The 21,593-nt window shown below is 37.4% G+C and overlaps 1 protein-coding gene across 1 annotated transcript in view; it reads left to right on the top strand.

Moving 5' to 3' along the window:
* Positions 1-11,448, top strand: part of IFT57 (intraflagellar transport 57) — a 61,613-nt gene extending 50,165 nt beyond the window's left edge. Inside the window, exons 7-11 of the mRNA NM_018010.4 lie at positions 4,396-4,467; positions 5,275-5,406; positions 6,767-6,829; positions 8,531-8,597; positions 9,605-11,448. Coding sequence (NP_060480.1) covers positions 4,396-4,467; positions 5,275-5,406; positions 6,767-6,829; positions 8,531-8,597; positions 9,605-9,783 — 513 coding nt within the window. The 3' untranslated portion in view covers positions 9,784-11,448. The remainder of the gene's footprint in view (positions 1-4,395; positions 4,468-5,274; positions 5,407-6,766; positions 6,830-8,530; positions 8,598-9,604) is intronic.
* Positions 11,449-21,593: the final 10,145 nt, after the last annotated feature.

Raw genomic sequence — 21,593 nt, 5'->3', positions numbered from 1 at the left:
CTTGTTCATGTTACTCCCTCAGCCAAGAATATGCTTCCTCCGCACATCTTTGCAGCCTGTTGAAATGCTACTCATGCTTCGAGGTTCCACAGAAATACCAGCCCCTCCATGGAGTTTTACATCAGTGTACACTATCGTAGTTATACCTAAATGAGTCAGGCATGGTTGCTTCTCTCGAAATGTTTTAAATGTCAATGCATGGCAAAAATATATTTATAAATAATGCTGGGTAGAAATAGCAGAACACAAACTATTTTAACATATCCATTATAATAAAAACTATATATTTGTATATGTATGTATGTATGCATTTTTCTAAATACATATATATGGAGAGAAACAGGCAAAGAGAAACAGAGACTGTTAGGAAGAGGGAAGCAATGTAAATACTTGAGCTTGGTGTTTATTAAGGCCTCTGAAATTCTTTTTGGAACCAGGCAGGATGAGTACTTTTTCAAAAAAAATTAATGATAATATAATGATGCGTGTTAGGTTCATTTTCTTTCATAAAGATGCTAACTTGGGCTCCAATAGGTTTCCATTTTGAGGCTCAACCATATTTGGTCCAGGTGCAGAAGGCCAGCCAGTTGTCCCTCCTCTCTATTCCAGTGTTGATTAGCTGACTTGGAGGGGCCTTGTTCCGTTGTCAACTCTGTGTAGTCATAGTCACGGGTGGTGAATAGTCCCCTCAACTATAAAATGAAAACGTTACACTAGATGATTGTTAAGTAGATGGATAGATGATCTCTAAGGTTCTTTTCAGCTCTCCAATTCTGCGATACTTTTTGCTCATGAAACAGAAAAATGCTTAAGGATAAAGGAAAGTGCTGATTTGTTTTCTACTCTAGCACCCTCACTATCAGGTAGCCAGTTGCCCCCTTTCTTTACGTCAAACTGCCAGTATGTGTTGTGTGGAAATTACTACATTTGGCTTCTATCCAGGTGCACCAATAGCTATGTGGCCTTGGGTGTGCCCCTTGCTGTCACCAGGCCTCTGTTTGCTTATCTGTGAAATGACAAGGGTGAGACTGGATGCTTTTTGAGGCTCTTTGCAGCTTTAATATATTATAATTTTATAATTGGTACATTTGAAGTACCCAAGCAGTTTCTTACCCTGCAGTCACTAGGCCATTTCAAAGTTAAATAATAGGTAGAATGGGACTATTCACAAAATATCCTTTTACTCACAAAATAGTGTAGTTAGCAAAGTGGAGCATCAGGGTATGCAAACAGATATGTGCAATGAAGAAATAGCCTAGTTGCATCACTTACTTTAACTTACTGTATTTTTCTTTTACAATGGGTATTTCTCAATTACTCTTTTAAAATTATTACTTTGTATTAAATAGGGAATCCTTTCCCCATTGTTTGTTTTTGTCAGGTTTGTCGAAGATCAGATGGTTGTAGATGTGTGGTGTTATTTCTGAGGTCTCTATTCTGTTCCATTGGTCTGTATATCTGTTTTGGTACCAGTATCATGCTGTTTTGGTTACTGTAGCCTTGTAGCATAGTTTGAAGTCAAGTAGCATGATGCCTCCAGCTTTGTTGTTTTTGCTTAGGATTTTTTTGGCTGTATGGGGTTTTTTTTTTTGGTTCCACATGAAATTTAAAGTAGTTTTTTCTAATCTGGGTAGAAAGTCAATGGTAGCTTGATGGGAAAAGCATTGAATCTATAAATTACTTTGGGCAGTATGGCCATTTTCATGATATTGATTCTTCCTATCCATGAGCATGGAATGTTTTTCCACTTGTTTGTGGCCTTTCTTACTTCCTTGAGCAGTGGTTTTTAGTTCTCCTTGAAGAGGTCCTTCACATCCCTTGTAAGTTGTATTCCTAGATATTTTATTTTATTTGTAGCAATTGTGAATAGAAGTTCACTCATGATTTAGCTCTCTACTTGTCTATTATTGGCATATAGGAATGCTTGTGATTTTTGCACATTGATTTTGTATCCTGAGACTTTGCTGAAGTTGCTTATTAGCTTAAGGAGTTTTGGGGCCGAGACATAGGGGTTTTCTAAATATGCAATTATGTTATCTGCAAACAGAGACAATTTGACTTCCTCAGTTCCTATTTGAATACCCTTTATTTCTTTCTATTGCCTGATTGCCCAGGCTAGAACTTCCAATACTATGTTGAATAGGAGTGGGGTGAGAGGGCATGCTTGTCTTTTTCCGGTTTTCAAAGGGAATGCTTCCAGCTTTTGCCCATTCAGTATGATATTGGCTATGGGTTTGTCATAAATAGCTCTTATTATTTTGAGATATGTTCCATCAATACCAAGTTTATTGAGAGTTTTTAGCATGAAGGAGTGTTGAACTTTATCAAAGGCCTTTTCTGCATCTATTGGGATAATCATGTGGTTTTTGTCACTGGTTCTGTTTATGTGATGGATTACATTTATTGATTTGTGTATGTTGAACCAGCCTGCATCCTGGGGCTGAAACTGACTTGATCATGGTGGATAAGCTTTTTGATGTGCTGCTGGATTTGGTTTGCCAGTATTTTATTGAGGGTTTTCACATTGATGTTCATCAGGGATAAAACTGGCTAGCCATATACAGAAAACAGAAACTGTACCCCTTCCTTACACCTTATACAAAAATTAGCTCAAGATGGACTAAAGACTTAAATGTAAAACCTAAAACCATAAAAACCTGAGAGGAAAACCTAGGCAATACCATTCAGGATATAGGCATGGGCAAAGACTTCATGACTAAAACACCAAAAGCAATGGCAACAAAAGTCAAAATTGACAAATGGCCTCTAATTAAACTAAAGAGCTTCTGCACAGCAAAAGAAACTATCATCCAAGTGAACAGGCAGCCTAGAGAATGGGAGAAAATTTTTGCAATCTATCCATCTGACAAAAGTCTAGTATCCAGAATCTAAAGGAACTTAGACAAATTACAAGAAAAAAAAAACCCATCAAAAAGTGGGCAAAGGATATGAACAGACGCTTCTCAGAAGAAGACATTTATGTGGCCAAAAAACATATGATAAAAAGCTCATCACCACTGTTAATTAGAACAATGCAAATCAAAACCACAATGAGATACCATCTCATGCCAGTTAGAGTGGTGATCAAAAAAGTCTGGAAACAACAGCTGCTAGTGAGGATGTGGAGAATAGGAACACTTTTACACTGTTGGTGGGAGTGTAAATTAGTTCAACCATTGTGGAAGACAATGTGGCAATTCTTCAAGGATCTAGAATCAGAAATACCATTTGACCCAGCAATCCCATTACTGGGTGTATACCCAAAGGTTTTTAAGTCATTTTACTGTAAAGACACATGCACACATATGTTTATTGCAGCACTATTTACAATAGCAAAGACTTGGAACCAATCCAAATCCCCATCAATGATAGACTGAATAAAGAAAGTATGGCACATATACACTGTGGAATACCATGCAGCCATAAAAAAGAATGAATTCATGTCCTTTGCAGGGACATGGATGAAGCTGGGAGCCATCATTCTCAGCAGACTAACACAGGAACAGAAAACCAAACACCGCATGTTCTCACTCATAAGTGGGAGTTGAACAATGAGAACACATGAACACAGGGAAGGGAACATCACACACCCAGGCCTGTTGGGGGATGGGGGATGGGGAGGGAGAGCAGTAGGACAAATACCTAATGCATGCAGGGCTTAAAACCTAGATGACAGGTTGATGGGTGCAGTAAACCACCAGGGCACATAGTATACCTATGTAACAAACTTGCACATTCTGCACATGTATCCCAGAACTTAAAGTAAAATAAAATAAAAAATTATTACTTTGTAGTAAACTGAAATATTTTTAATATATTTTGTAGGAAATTAAAATGTTGATGTAGATTTCAAATTTGCACACTAATTCAGATCAGTCTAGTAGTAATAGATGATATTTTAAAATACATGAACTCCAGTAATCATTATAAACTTCCTTTATTAAGAAAGGGACTCAAAAGGCTTCATGAAGATGAGGGCCCCATTTTCATTTCCAAGGGACAAACTAATCTTTGATATATGATATTTGAGTTCAGAATTGCTTTTGGCAAACATAATTGTTACTGCTTAAACAAGTAGTTCTTTTCTAGTAATTAGAATTTTTTTTTCATTTTAATGGGTAGTCATAAATATTAACCACCAGCAGTGCAGGAATAATTTAAATTGTCAGACATCACTCTGTGAACACGTGAAATAATTTACATTTATTTAGAACCTTTTATCCTAAAGTGCTCTACACATATTTCTTTATAATCTGATTGCAAGCTATAAATAGGGCTATCCCACCTGAAATAGGGCAGGAACCAAAGTAATTAAAGGTTACAACTTCACAAGAAGTAGGGAAAGATGGAAATGTAGTATTTTTTACATTATTTCTATGTGCTCTATGCCTGTAGGATTGGAGAATCCATGTTGACCAAATGCACCAGCACAGAAGTGGAATTGAATCTGCTCTAAAGGAGACCAAGGTATATGAATTACTTTACGTGAATCAATGTACATTTACTCATCTGTGGAACACCTGTTATAAGAGAACATGAAAGAATAAAAAGACACAATTTTTGCCTTTAAGGAACTTACTAATTGAATGTACCGTGTTACATTTCAACTGACCTTACATTTAAACCAACTAAAGAAAGCTAACTTACATATTAATAAAAGCTATATATATGTATATATATAAGATATATATGTATAATATATAGATAATACATATATTAGAGAGAAACATTTCATCATCCTTTCCTCTCTGAATCTTAAAGGAGGAAAGAACACCAGACCAGCAAGGTCTAGAACTTACAGCCTCCGCAGGCTTGCTGTCCTGCCAGAAACAAGGACTTTGGAGAATGTCACAAAGAAGCAAAGCTAGACTGAAAAGTTATGTGTCCCAGGCTAGAGCTATAGGCTTAGGGATCTATTTCCAACTGGAATATTTCAGTCACCTTTGAATCGTGCTATAGGAAACTCACGTTATTCCCTTACTTTGATTGTGAATGTTATATAATGCTAATTATAGTCACATAAATTTTATGGTATGTATAATGACAAATGAATTGACTAACACTGCCAGGTGCATTTTTATTCTAAAACTCTTCTAAGTGTGGTTAAAATATTTCTCATCACAGATATTTTGTGCTATTGAAAATTTCAAGCTGTCTTCTTTTGCACATGTAGTTGATTATTTGTAGAATGGATTGAGATGTAACCCATTTTTAATATTTTTGAAAAAATATGTTTGTGAGTTCTTCTATCTGCAAATTCCATGGAATTTCTAGGGATTTTTGGACAAACTCCATAATGAAATTACTAGGACTTTGGAAAAGATCAGCAGCCGAGAAAAGTACATCAACAATCAGCTTGAGAATTTGGTTCAAGAATATCGTGCAGCTCAAGCCCAGCTGAGTGAGGTAATTTAAGAATGATTTCCAAGGATTTATTCAAGTTAACAACCCTAAACCCTAAACTTGACACAATACTGTTCATTTGAGAATCATGAAATGCTTTTCATGAACAGCAAAACATCAATTTTCTGCCCACTTTAGGAAGCCAAGAGAGCCGAGTGAACTTATTTCCATTTCACATGTAATAGAAGTTGTTTTCTCCTGGAAGTCTTTAAATGCACGTCTTCATTTGATTTAAGTAAATGAAGGCATATGCTGTTGGGGGAACATAGCTTAGAACAGGAACAGAGTATCAGGACACCTGGTTTTGCTTCTATAAGTCTGTTGTTAATTTACCATTGGCGTAGGAGGAAGAAGAATAGTATGCATTTACATGTGTCAAAGGAAAAAGACAGTCCTTGCCATTCTGGCTTACAACCACATAATAAGGAATGTGAAAGCAAGATACATTCAGAGACAAGCAGTTTAATTAATAAAATGAGACAAATTTTTCATTCTTTCAAAGTTTTAGAATTTTAACCAAAAAATAAAATCACTAGACTTTGAAAGCACCAGTTCTTTGTCCCAGCAGTAGGGATCTAAAAGCTTTCCTTTGGGATTTGTGCCCCCTATTTTCTGATGTTAAAGAAGGCTAGTAAGGACAGTTGCAAACATCAGTTGAAGGCATATTTTTTGTCTTCAGCAGACAAAGTTGAGAAAGAGAAAAAAGTAGAAGTAAATTTGAGATACTTCTATACTTTCAGAAGTCCTCAAAGACTAAATAGAAATCTACACTTTTTGATGTTATTTGTTAAATGTATTATTCCTTCATATACACAATTACTTATGAATATTTTAACTATCAAAATGATGTAAAACTCTCTGATCAAAGCCACCATGTATTTGTCTAATATTAATATTATATAATTGATTGTTAGTTTCTGACATACTCCAGTTGAGTGTACTGTCTTACGGGATGTTAATCCTTATTCATCATTGAGCTTCATGCTCTACTTTGATTGATTTTTGGTTTTAGAACGGACTTTCTCTGCGGAGCATGCAAATTAGATTGACCAAGAGCCCCTCTCCTAAACTGTTTAGGAATGACCAAGGACAGTTTTTATTGTGAACCATGCCCATGCGAGGTACACAGTCAGTTTGTGAAGGTTAAGGTAGTTCATCATTTTGTAGTACTTAGTTAAATACATGCTGCCTATTAGGGACATAAAACAGCTACAGTTAAATGTCACTTTCACAAATGTATTCACAAACAAGGAGCAGGGTTGTCATAAAATGACCTGCAGAAATTGCAAACACAAAGAGGTCAGTCGTATTTAATCTGCTGCTGCTTTGAATTTGCCATTAAACAAAATGTTTTTCCTCTCAGGCAAAGGAGCGATACCAGCAGGGAAATGGAGGAGTGACGGAAAGAACCAGACTCCTCTCTGAGGTACACACTGATGCTCTTGCCCTGCTTCTCACCTGTCAGCTGGGCCCCAGCCATTGAGAACCTACAAATGGTTTAACACTGCTAATTTCAGTTGCTTCCTGTGCCTTTAAATCATTTTCTTTAGGAGATAATCCCTAATTTTCCTATGACTGAATCAATAATTGATACATTTCTTGTTTCCACAGGATGCCTGAAGTTTCTGTATTAAATTCAACATAAAACCTGCTCATAATATTAGCACACTTATAATTTTCCTCAACATTTTTTACATAATAATTATTATTAACATGGGGATGAATAGTAAAGCACTGACTTAAGGAATCTATAACAAATTTTAACGTTAGTCTGCAAGATATAAGGTTTATTTTTAGTGACTGTTATTGATAATTTGTGTGTGATCCTGGGTGTATTTCTCTGTCCACAATTGGGAGTGGCTTATAACCTCCTCCTTTAGAATATTTGCATAAAAATAAATAGTTGCATTTATTTTTATGATCTTGCAAGAGAGGTAGGACCTGATATATATTCCCATTTTTCACTGAAGAGCCAAAGGAGGAAAAAACCTTGAAAAAAGGTCAGTAGTTTATTTGGGACTAAAATCCAAGATGATCTTTGGTTACAATCCAGTATAATTGGAACAAACTTTACTGTTTTGACAGGAAAGAATTAAACCTCTTTTATAGAGATTATTTGAGGAATAAAGTTATTTTAAAACACTAAAAATATAACATCAGAAATATTTAGACTGTAATCCTGTGGTGCTTCTAAGCAAATAAAACAGTATGTAGAAGTAAAGTGTTCACTTATGTTAGGTAAATTAACACTTGAAGGGAGTCCAGGGAACCATTTACTTCTTTTGGAGTAGATAGTTATCCCCAGTTGTAACATTTCAGATGCCTGAAAAAATTAATTTGCTTTACTTGGATGAGCACTTTATTCCCAGGGAAAGTTTTACTCACCAGTATGATAAAAATAAAGCCTACTAAGTCACAATAATTATAGCTTAGTTGTAGATCATGTAAAAAATTTTCAATTTCTTAAAGATAGTATTTTCTACTTATATTAATGCTGGTTTGGAATTTTGCTAATAATAGAGGTTATAGTAGTATAATCGCCAGATAGAGTGCAGATAGGAACAAGTGTGACAGCAAAGTATGCCTCCTTGGAGTTCGGAGTTCATGATTTGGATAAAGCAATAAGAATATTCTTATATATAGCCATATGATATAAACATTTTTTAGTGTCCTATAGAGGAAAAAGTGACATAATGTCTTATAGAACTATAATATTAAGAAAGATACCCAGAAAAGCTTTAGAAATCTAAAATCTCTTCAGGATGTTTATACTATTTTAATTAATAACCAGTTATTAGAGAATTTCAAAGTATATGCGATGAGATAATTGCGAGGTTTGAGTGTCTAGTGACTAAAACAACTTTGATTGTGTTTAGTATATTGCAACATGAGAAAACAGATGTGACAGCCATTTGGTGAAGTTTAACATTAGGAGCATTCTGAAAAACTGAAAAGCTTTGTATATCTGCATACTTTATATTATTTGAATTATGTCCAAAATATTCCTAATATCTTTATTTTTCTATATGTGTGGCTAATATCTAAATTACATTTTCTTAACACATAATTCAAAAATTGTGAAAGTTTATTAAAATGTAATGCTCATGAAAACTTGTTTTCATGAAAGGTTATGGAAGAATTAGAAAAGGTAAAACAAGAAATGGAAGAAAAGGGCAGCAGCATGACTGATGGTGGTAAGTACATGCTCATTTTAGGGGAAAAACTGAGCAAGAGAAAAATAGCTCTTCAAGAAACCTACTTAACAAAATAGTATTAATATATAAAACAAATTATTTGTTGCTTGTTTGAAGAGAGATTCATTGTACAAAAATGTCTGATAATCAGCGTACTGTTTTTCTTATAAATCAGCTGAGAAGGGTAGGCTTTTTAACTATAATTTAGAGGTTTTTAACATTCAAACTATTGATTCAAAGAGTGGGAAATATTTAAATATGTACTTTGTTATGCCAGTTTAAAAAATAATATTGTGTTCTGTTTTCATCAAATGAGCTTCACTTTTTCTATTTTATATACAAAAGGGCACTAAGTATATGCCCAAATGACACTAAGGCAGTGATGTGATAACCCGTAGTTTATTTTCCCTCCTCCCCAGTAGAACTGACTGGGCAGGGGTCAAATAGAGAAGAATTAATCATCCTCTGGTAATCATCCTCCATTGTGAGCAGGTTACTTTGATATGGGCCAGTAGTGATTGCCGAAGGCTTTTCTATGCCCTAGAAAAATTTTCTAGAGTTCTATTGATATATACTGAATGATCTTGCAAAAGGGAATGTTTAGGATTTTTTTTTTGCAATATGTTTTAAGTGGGCCCATTATCTACATCTCAAAGATAATTCTCTCTTCCCCTTTTCCCCTTTTGTATTTCCTTTTCCTACAGACAAATATACTAGCTCATAAAATCATCTTGAACACATCCTTAAACACCTGTTTAGCAGCTCTTTCCCCTAGAAAAGGAAGAAAGTTTAGTCTCAATACATCAAACACTACATCATTTTTCCATCCTAAAAAATCTCAGGTGCTTAAAATGCCACAGCAAAACTGTGTGAATGTCAGTAAGTTTTTGGCTATATTTTTAACCCTATTTTGGGCTTAAGACAAAGTGAGGAAAATGTCATACAATTCTGTAATACACTGATACTCCAAATGAACATTTTTATTTCATGTTATTTTCATTCTGCAGCTCCTTTGGTGAAGATTAAACAGAGCTTAACAAAACTGAAGCAAGAAACTGTAGAGATGGACATTAGAATTGGCATTGTGGAACACACACTACTCCAATCAAAGCTGAAGGAGAAGTCCAACATGACTAGGAACATGCATGCCACAGTTATTCCAGAACCAGCAACAGGCTTTTATTAAAACATACTGGTTTTCATGTTTCTGATTAGTTGGGTTTTTTATATCAAACTATATTTCATGTTGCATAGATTTCAAAACATAATTTTATGTTCAATGGGTATTTTTTTACATATACATACTCACATATTATATCATGGTGATTATGATGGTTAAAGCCTTTACACTGAATGTAATGTTTAATAAAGAAATTACAAATTCTCACTTTCTAAGAAGCTTTCACTAATCATTACCTATGTTAAAGCTCCCACCTGGTGGCTCATTTTTCATAGCATTCCTTGTGTAAGCCAAGGTATATGACCTGCGTTTTCTGCAGATGCTGCTGCTGTCACAACATGAACTGCTGACACAGTCCTTTACCTTGCTCCACCTCTGCAGTGATCATAAGTGCTTTGTGCCCAGAGGCCACTGAAGATGGTAGGCAGGATTCTTTCCAAGAACCCAAACTGCCTTTGCCTCAGCTTTATGGTTACCTAAAATTGCCACTTTTTTTAGGTTAAAAAAAACTTCAGTATCCTCATTAACATTTGAAGTTGGTTTCTTATGAATATTTCGTGGCTAAAATGATTTTATAGGGAATCTATCTTCTAGGATCTAAGCCACTAAATAAAAGGATAAATGAATGATGATAAGTCAGTCACTCATGTTTGACTCTGTTCTTAGAATGAAGAGAAGGTGCATATGCATGTCTCAATTTCTACCTTTTTCTGTGGTATCGGCTATACTAGGGAACCATTTTGTAGAAGAAGGAACGATGACAGGTCGCATGAAGATCAGCCTCTAGTACTGATGATCTTTACTTATGCATCTTCCTGAGCAACTTTCTAGGCTAGGATTTCTAAATTGGTGAAAAAAGCAGCATTAGAGTGCCAGAATTAGCACTGGGGAAAACTGGCCAGGGGAACACAAAGCAGGAGACAGCCTGCGTTAATTTTTTTTTTTTAATAATTTTCAAAAGCAGTGGTAGAAAATTTGATAAGAATGCTTTATGTTTAGGACAACAAAAATAATTTTAAAAAGTTATTTTTTACCCTAATACTTTTCTCCACTGAATATTATTATTTTTTTCTTAGCTTTTTCTTTCTAGATGTATTCCCCAACATGCTCACATACACAGATCTTTCCCTTTCCTTACTAGACCTCTCTTTAGTTTAAGATAAGTTTAGACAGGAGAAAGTGTATGTAAACTACCTGAAAGGATGACAATCAATACAATGACAAATATGCCAGTTTATTTAATTTGTTTAAAAAAAAAAAGGCAGAAAACCCACCATGGGAAAATAAGCATTTTTTAAAATCTGAAGTTGCTCTTTTCCTGTGTGGTCTTTGGGAGGAGTCTAATACAAAAACTGAAAACCTTTGGTCCTGGGAATTTATTTTCATGGCTGTTGTCATGGCTGAGTAGTTTTTTGATGAATTCAATCAATGCAGAGAACGCTTTTAGATAAATCAGAACTCTCCTTAAAATGCATTTCAATCAGAAGCAAAGTACACCCATTATTTATGCAGACATGTAAAAAATCTAAAAATTCTTGCAATGAGTAGTATAAGCCACCTATTTTTACTTCCTTCTCTGAAATATTCCAGTTAACTCAGCTTGGGTTCTGTGCTCCTCCTCTCTTCCTATAGAACACTGTGCATACCTTGAATAAAGAGCTTATTATACTATATTGTTATTTTCTTCCATCCTACCTAATGAATTGAGCTACTTTAGGATAGGACAAAGTCTTTTATTTCCGTATTCCTTGCCAGGTGCCCAGCACATAGAAAGTGTCTAGTAAATGTATTGAGTTAGTAAATGGATGAGTAGATGACTGGCACTGTGTGGATCCAGGATACCTTCTAGCTCCCATTCTATAGCATGAAGAGTTTAATGACATTAAGCCTGTGTGCTTGGTATAGTTTCAAGATAGCGATTAAAAACAATGGGTTCTTTTCCTATGGTATTGGATTAGAATTAGAAACATCAGTATGAACTCATGGGTTTTTAAAAGTAAGTATAGATTAATAGAAATATAGAAATATTTAACATGTAGTAATACACACACACATATTTCCTAGTTGTGTCCTCTGATAGAGCCTAGTAGCAGTGACAGCCCAATTACAACTGTGGGCACTCAGATCTTGATGTCTAAATTCTCTTCTTTAAAAAAAAAAGGAAGTCTTAGATTTCTGATTCCTGGGCTGCAACAGGAAAAGCACAAGGTGAGTCTAAAATACTTGCTTTGCCAGAAAGGAAGTACTTAAATAATGATGGGAAGTATCTAAAGGACACAGCAGATTGAGGGTTTACCATCTGCCAATCTGGAACAATTTGAGCATCAAAGTCAATCGTCATAGTAATAAATAATAACACATGGAATAAGAAACCACAAGTCCACACAGATATAAATGAATGAAAGAATAAATGGAGAGGTGAGAAAGGTCTTCCTGCTCATGTAAAAGGAATGCTGGATTTAGAAAATCACCACATGGCATCTACCATGGTAGTAATTGTTTGGGCAAGACTCATCAGTGGATGCTAAAATTGGTAGGTGAAAGTTTGATAGAAACAGGATATTTACATAGTCTTGAATTATGTAAGACATTTTACAAGGAAAAAGTTGTTTACAGTATAGAAACCTGGTAGATACCACTTTAGGTGATAATAGTTAACACCACTAGTAATGGGACAAATAGAGACCATAGGCCTGCTGAGAAGAGCACACACTTACATGGTTCCTGCTGAAAATGCATAACCTGAATCTACTCATGAAATATCAGATGAATCCAAACTGAGGGATTTGTATAAAATAGCCTATATTCCTCAAAAATAATGTCATGAAAAGTTCTAAGGAACAGTTCCAGAGCAAAGGAGACTAAAGAGATAAGACAGCTAGATGCAACAGGAGATTCCAGATTGGACCCTGGGCCAGGAAAGGAAAAAATATGAATATTTTTAGTGTGTCTGCATATGTGTATATATATAATATATAGCATATATATGTGCGTGCACACACACACACACACACATATATATATATATAATATAAGCAGTCATCCCCAACTTTTTTGGCACCAGGGACCCCTGTTGTGCAAGACCATTTTTCCACTGACCAGGGGCAAGGGGGCGGGGATGATTCTGGGATGAAACTGTTCCACCTTAGATCATCAGGCATTAGTCAGATTCTCATAAGGAGCACGCAAGCTGGATTCCTCGCATGTGCAGTTCACAATAAGGTTCCCGGTCCTATGAGAATCTAATCATCTAATGCTGCTGATCTGACAGGAGGAAGAGCTCAGGCGGTATTGCTCACTGGCCCGCTGCTCACCTCCTGCTGTGTGGTCCAATTCCTAACAGGCCAGGGACTGGGAATGGGACTGGGACTGGTCCATGGCCTCAGGAGTTAGGGACCCCTGTTATAAAGGATATTATTGGTGCAACAGGAAAATTTTGAAGACCTGTGGATTGGATAATAGTATTAATGTTAATTTCTTGATATTTATGCTGTACATAAGATAATATACTTTTAACAATACACACATGTATTTGATTCTAAAGAGGCACCCTGTCACCAACTTACTCTCAAATGGTTCAGGAAAAAAAAAGGTATGTGTGTTTGTATATTCATACATATACAGAGAGGATAGTGAAAAAAATGTAGGAAATTGCTAACATTTTGGGAATGTGGGAGCAGGAAATACTGAACTCAATTGTACTTTTTAAAACTTTTCTATAATCTGAAATTATTTCAAAATAATAGTTTAAAAATGATAGTTCTTAAAGATTATGCGCTCTATATGGAAGTCAGTCTCTCTCTGAATCAAATAGCTAATCAATTTGTTGAAATAGTATTTCACTCTCAAAATTCTGTGGTCCATTGGATGCAACTTTAATAATTTTATAGTCATTGGTTTGCTGGACAAGTAAAACAATTTTTTGACAATTCTAAGGAAGTATTTTTCTACTGCCCTCTAATTTATCTAGGTCAGCACTTCCCATGAGTTTTATGCAAAAACAAAATTTGTGTAATCAGGGAAATTTGAGAATTGTTTCATTTTCTTCACAATTTCCTGTCTACACTGTGAATCTGCAATCAGCAAATGTCCCATTATTTTTTACAAATATATACAGTCACCTCTCAGTGTCCTTGGGAGATTGGTTCCAGGACCCCCGGAGGATACTGAAATGCATGTATGCTCAAGTCCCTCATATACAATTTCTCAGCTCCCTTCCCCTCAATTTTTATTTAGTCGGCTTGGGTAGGAATGAGGGGGGTGGGGTCAGAAATTTTAAAAAGCTGCTCATGTGCCTTTGATGCAGCTTATTTAGGAAGCACTTTAGGGAGCCACCAATCTAGAATTTTTCCCTGGCTGTGTGTAAACAAAGCATCTTAGCTCAGAAGGGGTCTTTAAATAGGATCTAAACTAGTGATTCTCAGTGTGGCCTGTGGATTGCCTTAATATTAGCCCTGCCTTGGAGATTTTTAATAAATAACCTAGATGACTTAATACACACTGGACTTTAAGACATATTGATATTAAAAACTATCACTTAAAAAAAATCAGAAAACCAAAGAGCAAGGTAACCAATTTCATGGTTTCCTAAATGGTTTTCAGTGTAGTTTGGAGCAGCCCTGTGAGAGCTTCATGACTATAGCTCCTGTCACCTACCTTGTCCCATATTTCAAGTCAAGATTATACAGTCATGTTTTCATTCATGCCCAGTGACTTTTATCCTCCCTATGTGAAGATTTGTGTATAGAATACACTGGGAATCCAGACACCTTGATTCCAATCCCAAATTTGCTAGTAAAAGGAAAAAAAAAGAAACACATTTTTTGTACTCACAGCACTTCTGACACCAAATGTGTGCGTTTTTTCACACCAACAACTAATTCTCCAGCTCTTTGAACGCCAGCTGAGTGTCCAACAATTCAATTCATTTCTGATACTAAACATCCAGTGTTAGCACAGACCTGACTGATTAAGAGCTCAATCCTGCAAGACTGCTCCCACTTTAGATGCCAATCACAAGTCAAGGCCTCCTACACTTCTGAACAACTGGCTGTAAGCTGGGGATTCCCATGACCTCCTCAGATTTGAGCATTTGCTATAACAGCTCATAGAACTCAGGAAAACACTTCACCTGTATTTGACAGTTTATATGATACAAATGAAGAGCCAGATGAGAGGGACATGGGGGAAGGTATTAGAAGGGATATGGAGTTTCCATGCCACTGTCCCAGCACTTCCATGTGTTCACCATCCTGAAAGCTCTCTGAACCCCTTTAGCTTTTGCGGAGGATCCATGACATAGGGATGATTGATTAAATTATTGGCCTTTGATGATTGAACTCAATCTCCAGGCCCTCAGCTCTCCCCAGAGGTCAGAGGGTAGGGTAGAAGTTCCTACTGTCTAATCACATGGTTCTTCAACCCGCTATCCTCCAAGAGATACCTCATCAGCCTGAACTCAAGTATGCTTGAAAGGGGCTTATTATGAATAACAGCTGATGCTCCTTTAATCCCTATCACTCAGGAAATTACAAGGGTTTTAGGAGTTTTGTACCAGCAACCTGGAACAAAGACCAAATATTTCTTACATCACAATATCATAGCTAGTAACTTTCTGCATGACTTTTAGGACGTCACTATTTTTCAGTTTAATCTTTTTTTCCTACAAAGTTAGGGGTAGGACTACAATATTCTGAGTGCTTTTAGTCCTAAACTTTCAGGATTTTAAATTGTTAGCAGACTATCTTTATTATTTACAATAGCTTTCAGTGGTGTGCTGGAGGCCACTCTTAACCATCTCCAAAAAGCAAACTGTCACATATTCAGAAACCTCAAAAGCTGGGTGTTAAACTTTTGGTATTTTAAAACCAGCCCCTTACGAGAGTACTGTATTTATATCATGGAAATAGGAAAACACTAGAAATCAAGGCTTTAAAAAGCAAAACAAAACATAGAGCCAGTTTACCAGCATACCACTGATAACAAGTGTTATAATGTTCCACAGACCAGAACCAGACGCAGTAAATACGTAACAGAATGCCCCACCATATTTTAAGGTAGATTATTATAGTACTAATTGAATTAGGGCAGATTTGTAAATTGTTCTAAAAAATCATTAAGTCTACATAAAGCTATTCAGTGTGTCAAATGTGAATCCCCTGCACAATTTTATTGATATTACTTTACTGCCTTCCTATCACCAGTTCCTTTTACTGTTCCTCAAATCAATAGGCTAAAGCAGCCCAAGCATCTTCCTATAAGATAGATTCAAATATCATGTTTGTACAACTGAAACAATGTAGAATGCACACTAGTCCCATTATATGACCATAAAAAGACTAGTTCAGCTCACTGCATCATTGATCCATTTAATTGTATAGCAGCTTCCTATTGATAAGAGGAAATGTCCCTGACCCAACCATGCTGAAAATGAAACTGGCCAGTTTTCCACAACCATAAATTTCAATAAGGATTCTACCTAATACCCAGGGACTAGATATCATAGCCAGAGTTTATTAGTTTTTTCTTTGTTTTACTGACCTATTTACCTTGTATGTGACCCAATTTCTCTTATGCTTCCTGGATTTCATTAGTCATTAAGTGTTAGCCTATACTTATGTTCATGACTATTTATTTATTTATTTATTTATTTATTTATTTATTTATTTTGAGATGGAGTTTTGCTCTTGTCGCCCAGGCTGGAGTGCAGTGGCACAATCTCGGCTCACTGCAACCTCCATCTCCTGGGTTCAGGCAATTCTCCTGCCTCAGCCTCCTGAATAGCTGGGATTACAGGCGTGTGCCACCACACCCGGCTAATTTTTTGTATTTTTTGTAGAGACAGGGTTTCACCACGTTGGCCACGCTGGTCTCGATCTCCTGACCTCAGGTGATGAGCCTGCCTCAGCCTCCCAAAGTACTGGGATTATAGGCATGGGCCAACACGCCCGGCTGTGACTAGATATTTTATTTCAAATAGAGATTGTGATAAATTTTAGACCATCTTTTCATTTGGAACTTGGAAAACATTCAGTGGCCTACAAGCATTACAGAGGGGGCTGTGGACCCAGAAGTGTCACTTTTAATCACATTTCTGGCCTCTTGGTTTAGGCAGATGTGACATGGTATATCCATGTCATGCAAATACAACAAACATTTGATGGCTACCCACTATATTTCGAACACAGTAATGGGTACTGAGGGAAACAAAAATGAACAAGGCACAATCCCTCCCTCCACACACTCATAGTCTAATGGGAAATATTTGTGTACATAATTAAAATGTTATAATGGTGAGTTTAATAATAGAGATATAAACACAGTATTATTGAAATGGGGGTGAAGAAGGAATTCTAACATGGAGTAAAGAAAGAATTAATAGAGTTGGTCCTTAAAGGATGAGTAAGATCCTGGTAGCAGAGAAAAATGGGAAGGACCATTCTGGGCAGAGAAAAAGACACAACGTTCTGAGGTCTGGAAGGGCATCAAGGGATCAGGTGGTGGAGGGAAAGAATTAGAAGACCACTGGGGGAAAAAGAAGAACAAAGTGGAGGGTTTTGAATGCTAGGCTAAGGAGTCAAGCAGGAAAAGTGGGCAAAGCAAATAGGCATAAAATAATAAAATATGATAACAAAACTATGCACAGTGGAGCACAGTTGAGAAAATATGTTGAGCCAGGTCTTTTAGAATTTTTCAAAATGGAAAAGAGAAGCAGCAGAAAGAGGAACTAACATGAGCAAAGGCACTGGGATAGTACTGATGATCATTTATTATCACTATGTGTGTCAGGCACTGTGCTGAGCATCCTACCTATATGATCACCTTTTATTTTGCAGTTGAGGGAGGCATAATTTCCATTCTACTGATATAAAACTGAGATCCAGAGAAGATAAGTAACATGCCCAAGGCCACATAATAGTGGACTTTATATGAACCCATTATGCCATAAAACCTTCAATCTGAGAAATGTAATGATACATGATACATGAGGACAATAGTAAGTCAAGATGGTTAACATGTAAAATTTTTTAAATTGTAAATACCCTTTATTGAGCAGCTACTATTTTGCAGGGAACTTTATATGTGTATTAAATCAATAGCTTGAAGAAAAAATTGACCAAAGTCACCTAGTCAGTAGCAAAGCTAGAAATTTCTCCCACATGAAAAGGGCAGAGGGATCTGGTGAGGGGAGGGAGAGAGGACTCCAGTCATGACTTTTCAGAGCGGTATCAGAGGAAAAACAGCAAAGAAGTTTCGGAAGCTATGGATGACTACTACACTATTCTGTGCCTACTGCCACTGACCCTTCTTACATAATGCAAACAGGAAAAGATCCTGATTCGGGGTCAAGAAGGAGACCCTACTAGATTTGAATTTTGTTGAATTTGAAGCATATTGGAAACGTCCAGATGGATATGCTCAATGAGTCAGCTGCAAATAGCATCAGACAATATTTGGTAAGGGAATATCTTATAATAGGCAATGGTGGGGCAACTGGACCAGAAACTATAACGAAATGTGAAGCAATGGCCAAGCTTCCATTCCTTCGGAGGAGGCAGCAGGGCAAAAACCAAGTCTGTCCAGGGATGCCATGATTTCATCTAGTTAGGAATGAGGAAGTGGCAGTCCTAGAGTTTCAATCTGGGGTAAGCAAACCAGGGATCAGGGCAGAAGAGCTGGTAGGATATCAAATACTAAACTTTGAGTAATGCCAGGTCGTAGAGAATGAGAGGAAGATATGGTCTTCCTAGCGCCTGAGGCTGGTAGGGAAATAGCAAGTGGGTAAGGATACTGAGTGAGATTCCCCCTACTTTTGGAAGGGATCCAAGAAGTCTGAGACATCAGAAAACTCTATGTGGCTCTCAGAAACCATTCAGCAGCCTACAAGCTTTACAAAAGGCGTGCTGATCCAGAGGCGCCCCCTTCAGTCATGTTCATGACATTTTAATTTCAGCAGATGCTATTTAGTCTTAAACTTACTGGGATTCTGAAGAGGCCAGAGGGACTTGCCTGACAACACCGGTTGCTCATGAACAATTAAGCCCGCTCATTTATGTGTTCAGGTAGCCTTCCGGGAGGGGGCCAGGCTGGCACGGTTCTGGCACTTGGGGTAGAATCAGAGCTAGAAATGGAAATCATCTACCTGGAAGCTGTGCTTCAATCCCAGAGTGCATAAGATCGGTCAGCAATAGAGGCTGAGAAAAGGACCAAGGCTTGGAAATGCTTCCCCTTAAGGACTGATCAGAGGAAGGAAACTAAGGAAGATTCATCAGAGAAGTTAAAGGCAACAGAGAAGAATGTAGCTTCCAACGTTTCCTCTCTCTTCTTCCCTCATTTCCTGTGTATCCCATTTATTTTTAGTTTTGATCTGTAACTGGAACAAACCTTCAAAAAGAAAACTGCCCTCTCTGGAAAATGAAGGTAATGATGCCTCCCTCGGGGGGAAGTTGTGAGAATTCAGTGGGATAATGTAGGTGTCTGCATCTATTTGGTTCTCAATCAAATGTGTATTAATTCTCACCACCCCAGCATCACTGCCCACTCTCCCCTTCCCAGGGGTTAACGTGCCTTCGTTTATTAGTCCTTTGCTCTTATCATCAAAACAGAAACAAGTCTGATTAAACTGGGTGTGACTGATTTCTACATACAGGCTTAACAGTGAGAGAGAAAAAAAGAAGCAAGTCTTTGGTTTTCAAATCAGCTTTCACAGTGTATTGAGAAGGTGCTCTTTGGCTATACCCTTTTATGGGTGAGAAAATTGAAATAATCGGCTGAGCAGAAGTGCCTTCTCCAAATTCATAGTTGTAGTCTGTGCCCTGGCCAACACTTTCCCGCCCATTGCTTACCATTTGGGACATTCCAAGAAGTGGAAATAAGCAAGATAATGAATCATTTAATACTGCTTATCCTTCCAATCCTGGAGCAAGCCAGTTCCCCAGAATCATGTGGTAAGATGTCTGTTGCTTAGCTATTACACCCCAGCACTGCATTTTACAAGTGCAAAGGTGATAATCATTGGCCTGTTACCCTCCCCCTTATCAGAAGTAGCTGGTGTTTATGTTTACTGGAGTCACCATTAGTTCCGCTTCATGGACCCACCTTTCCTGTAATACAGCTCATATAGTCTATCTTAGAAACTCACATGGCTTCCAAAGCATAATTCCATTATCCACATGTTAACTCCCTATGGCCAAGAGGACCCGTGATACTGGACACACCAAATGGGAAATCTAAAACAGTTCTAAAGCAGTGTTCCTCAGCTGCCAGTCCCTAGGAAGGTGACACATTTTTACATCTGGGCCCAGAAGCCTCTCTGCTTCCACCCTGGAGGTTGGGCTGAGCTCCAGGAGAGCAGGGGAAGTAGGAACTCAGGATCATGTTGCTGCAGTGCTAAGCTAAAATCACATCTCCCACTCCTGGCCTGGTACCACCCTCTCCCCACCAACCACCAGAGGACCCAAGGGTCCCCAAGGAGACCACTCCAGTTTGCCTCATGTCATGATCTGTGGTTGTAAAGGTATGAGTATGTGTATACACACACCAACATTCAAAAAAGACTTTCACATAAAAATCCAGATTGAAGATATCCTAAAAAACAAAAGATGCTACAATGCAAAGCCTGCATTCCCACCTGTGACAATCAGTTCAAGCAGAACACTGCTCTCCATTGTACCTCAGTCCTCACCACTCCCTACTCTCTTCCTGAAATGAGACCATCAGTAGCAGTTCTGAACACTAAATATAATGACCCTGGATTATAAGAATTCTTATCTCACCTGCTTTACTCTTCTGCATTATCTACTTAGCCCAGGTGGCATTCAAATGGAATCTAGAGATTCCATTTCTCCCCGCTGCCTGCTGGACTCTAATCATCACCTTAGCTACCAGCACCACCAGCTTCCATGTAGCCATCCACTTTCAGGGGGAAAAATAAAAGATCAACAGGTGGTTTTCCTCTCATTGAGTCCCTAGAGCTCTCATAATAAAACTCTGTACTAGGCTCCCAAGACCAACCAAAGGCCACAGGACTACCCTGAAGGATGCAATGCATGCTGGCAAGGCTCTGGGTTTGACATCTCCTAACTCTGCCAGGGCACAGAAAGCCAGTCCCCGCAGAGGCCAGTTCAATGTGCACTGACTGAAAAGATTTTTGTTGTTGTTATTACTGAACTATTATCCCTATATTTTATATCCATATGTGCATATTTTATATATATCTTTTATACACATTTTATGCATGTATAATAGGCCTACATGATTTTGCTATATTACAGTAGAAAATTTAGATATGTTACTGGTCTGTGGTTCAGTTGATAGGAAGCCCTTGCCTAGAGTATACTGGGCTTGTTTCCCAACATCTCAGTTTTCTTTTCAACTTGAAAAGTAACCTGTGTAGATGCTCATAGTAATATTAATCTTTAATGGACCTTATTCTGCTGAGCAACCTTGTACATCCATTCTCATTGGAATTTCCCATTCATCCACAAAGATGCTTGGGGCAGAAGTTATGACTACCTTGATATACTGAAAAGGAAACCGAGGCTCAGGTAAAGTGCTCAAGGCCATTCAGATGTTTGAGGTGGAGCCAGAGAAAAGCAGACTTCCTTGCCGGCAGCCCAAGGCACTCTCTGAGACCAATGACTCCATCAGAATTAGGTGAACATTTAAAACATATCTGCTAAATGGATAAACTACCCACTGTCTTTGGCAGTTAGTACATAAGAAGATAAAGCAGATTATTACAAATACATTTGCACTGTAGTGAAAGTTCCTAGGTATTGTATTGGAGTTAGAGGCTTAAAGAAGTTGTCAAGGTA

This window comes from Homo sapiens, chromosome 3 (genome assembly GCF_000001405.40).
Source record: "Homo sapiens chromosome 3, GRCh38.p14 Primary Assembly".
Taxonomy (NCBI): domain Eukaryota; kingdom Metazoa; phylum Chordata; class Mammalia; order Primates; family Hominidae; genus Homo; species Homo sapiens.
The sequence above is the reverse complement of the archived record's forward strand: the minus strand, read 5'-3'. Positions and strand labels throughout refer to the sequence as shown.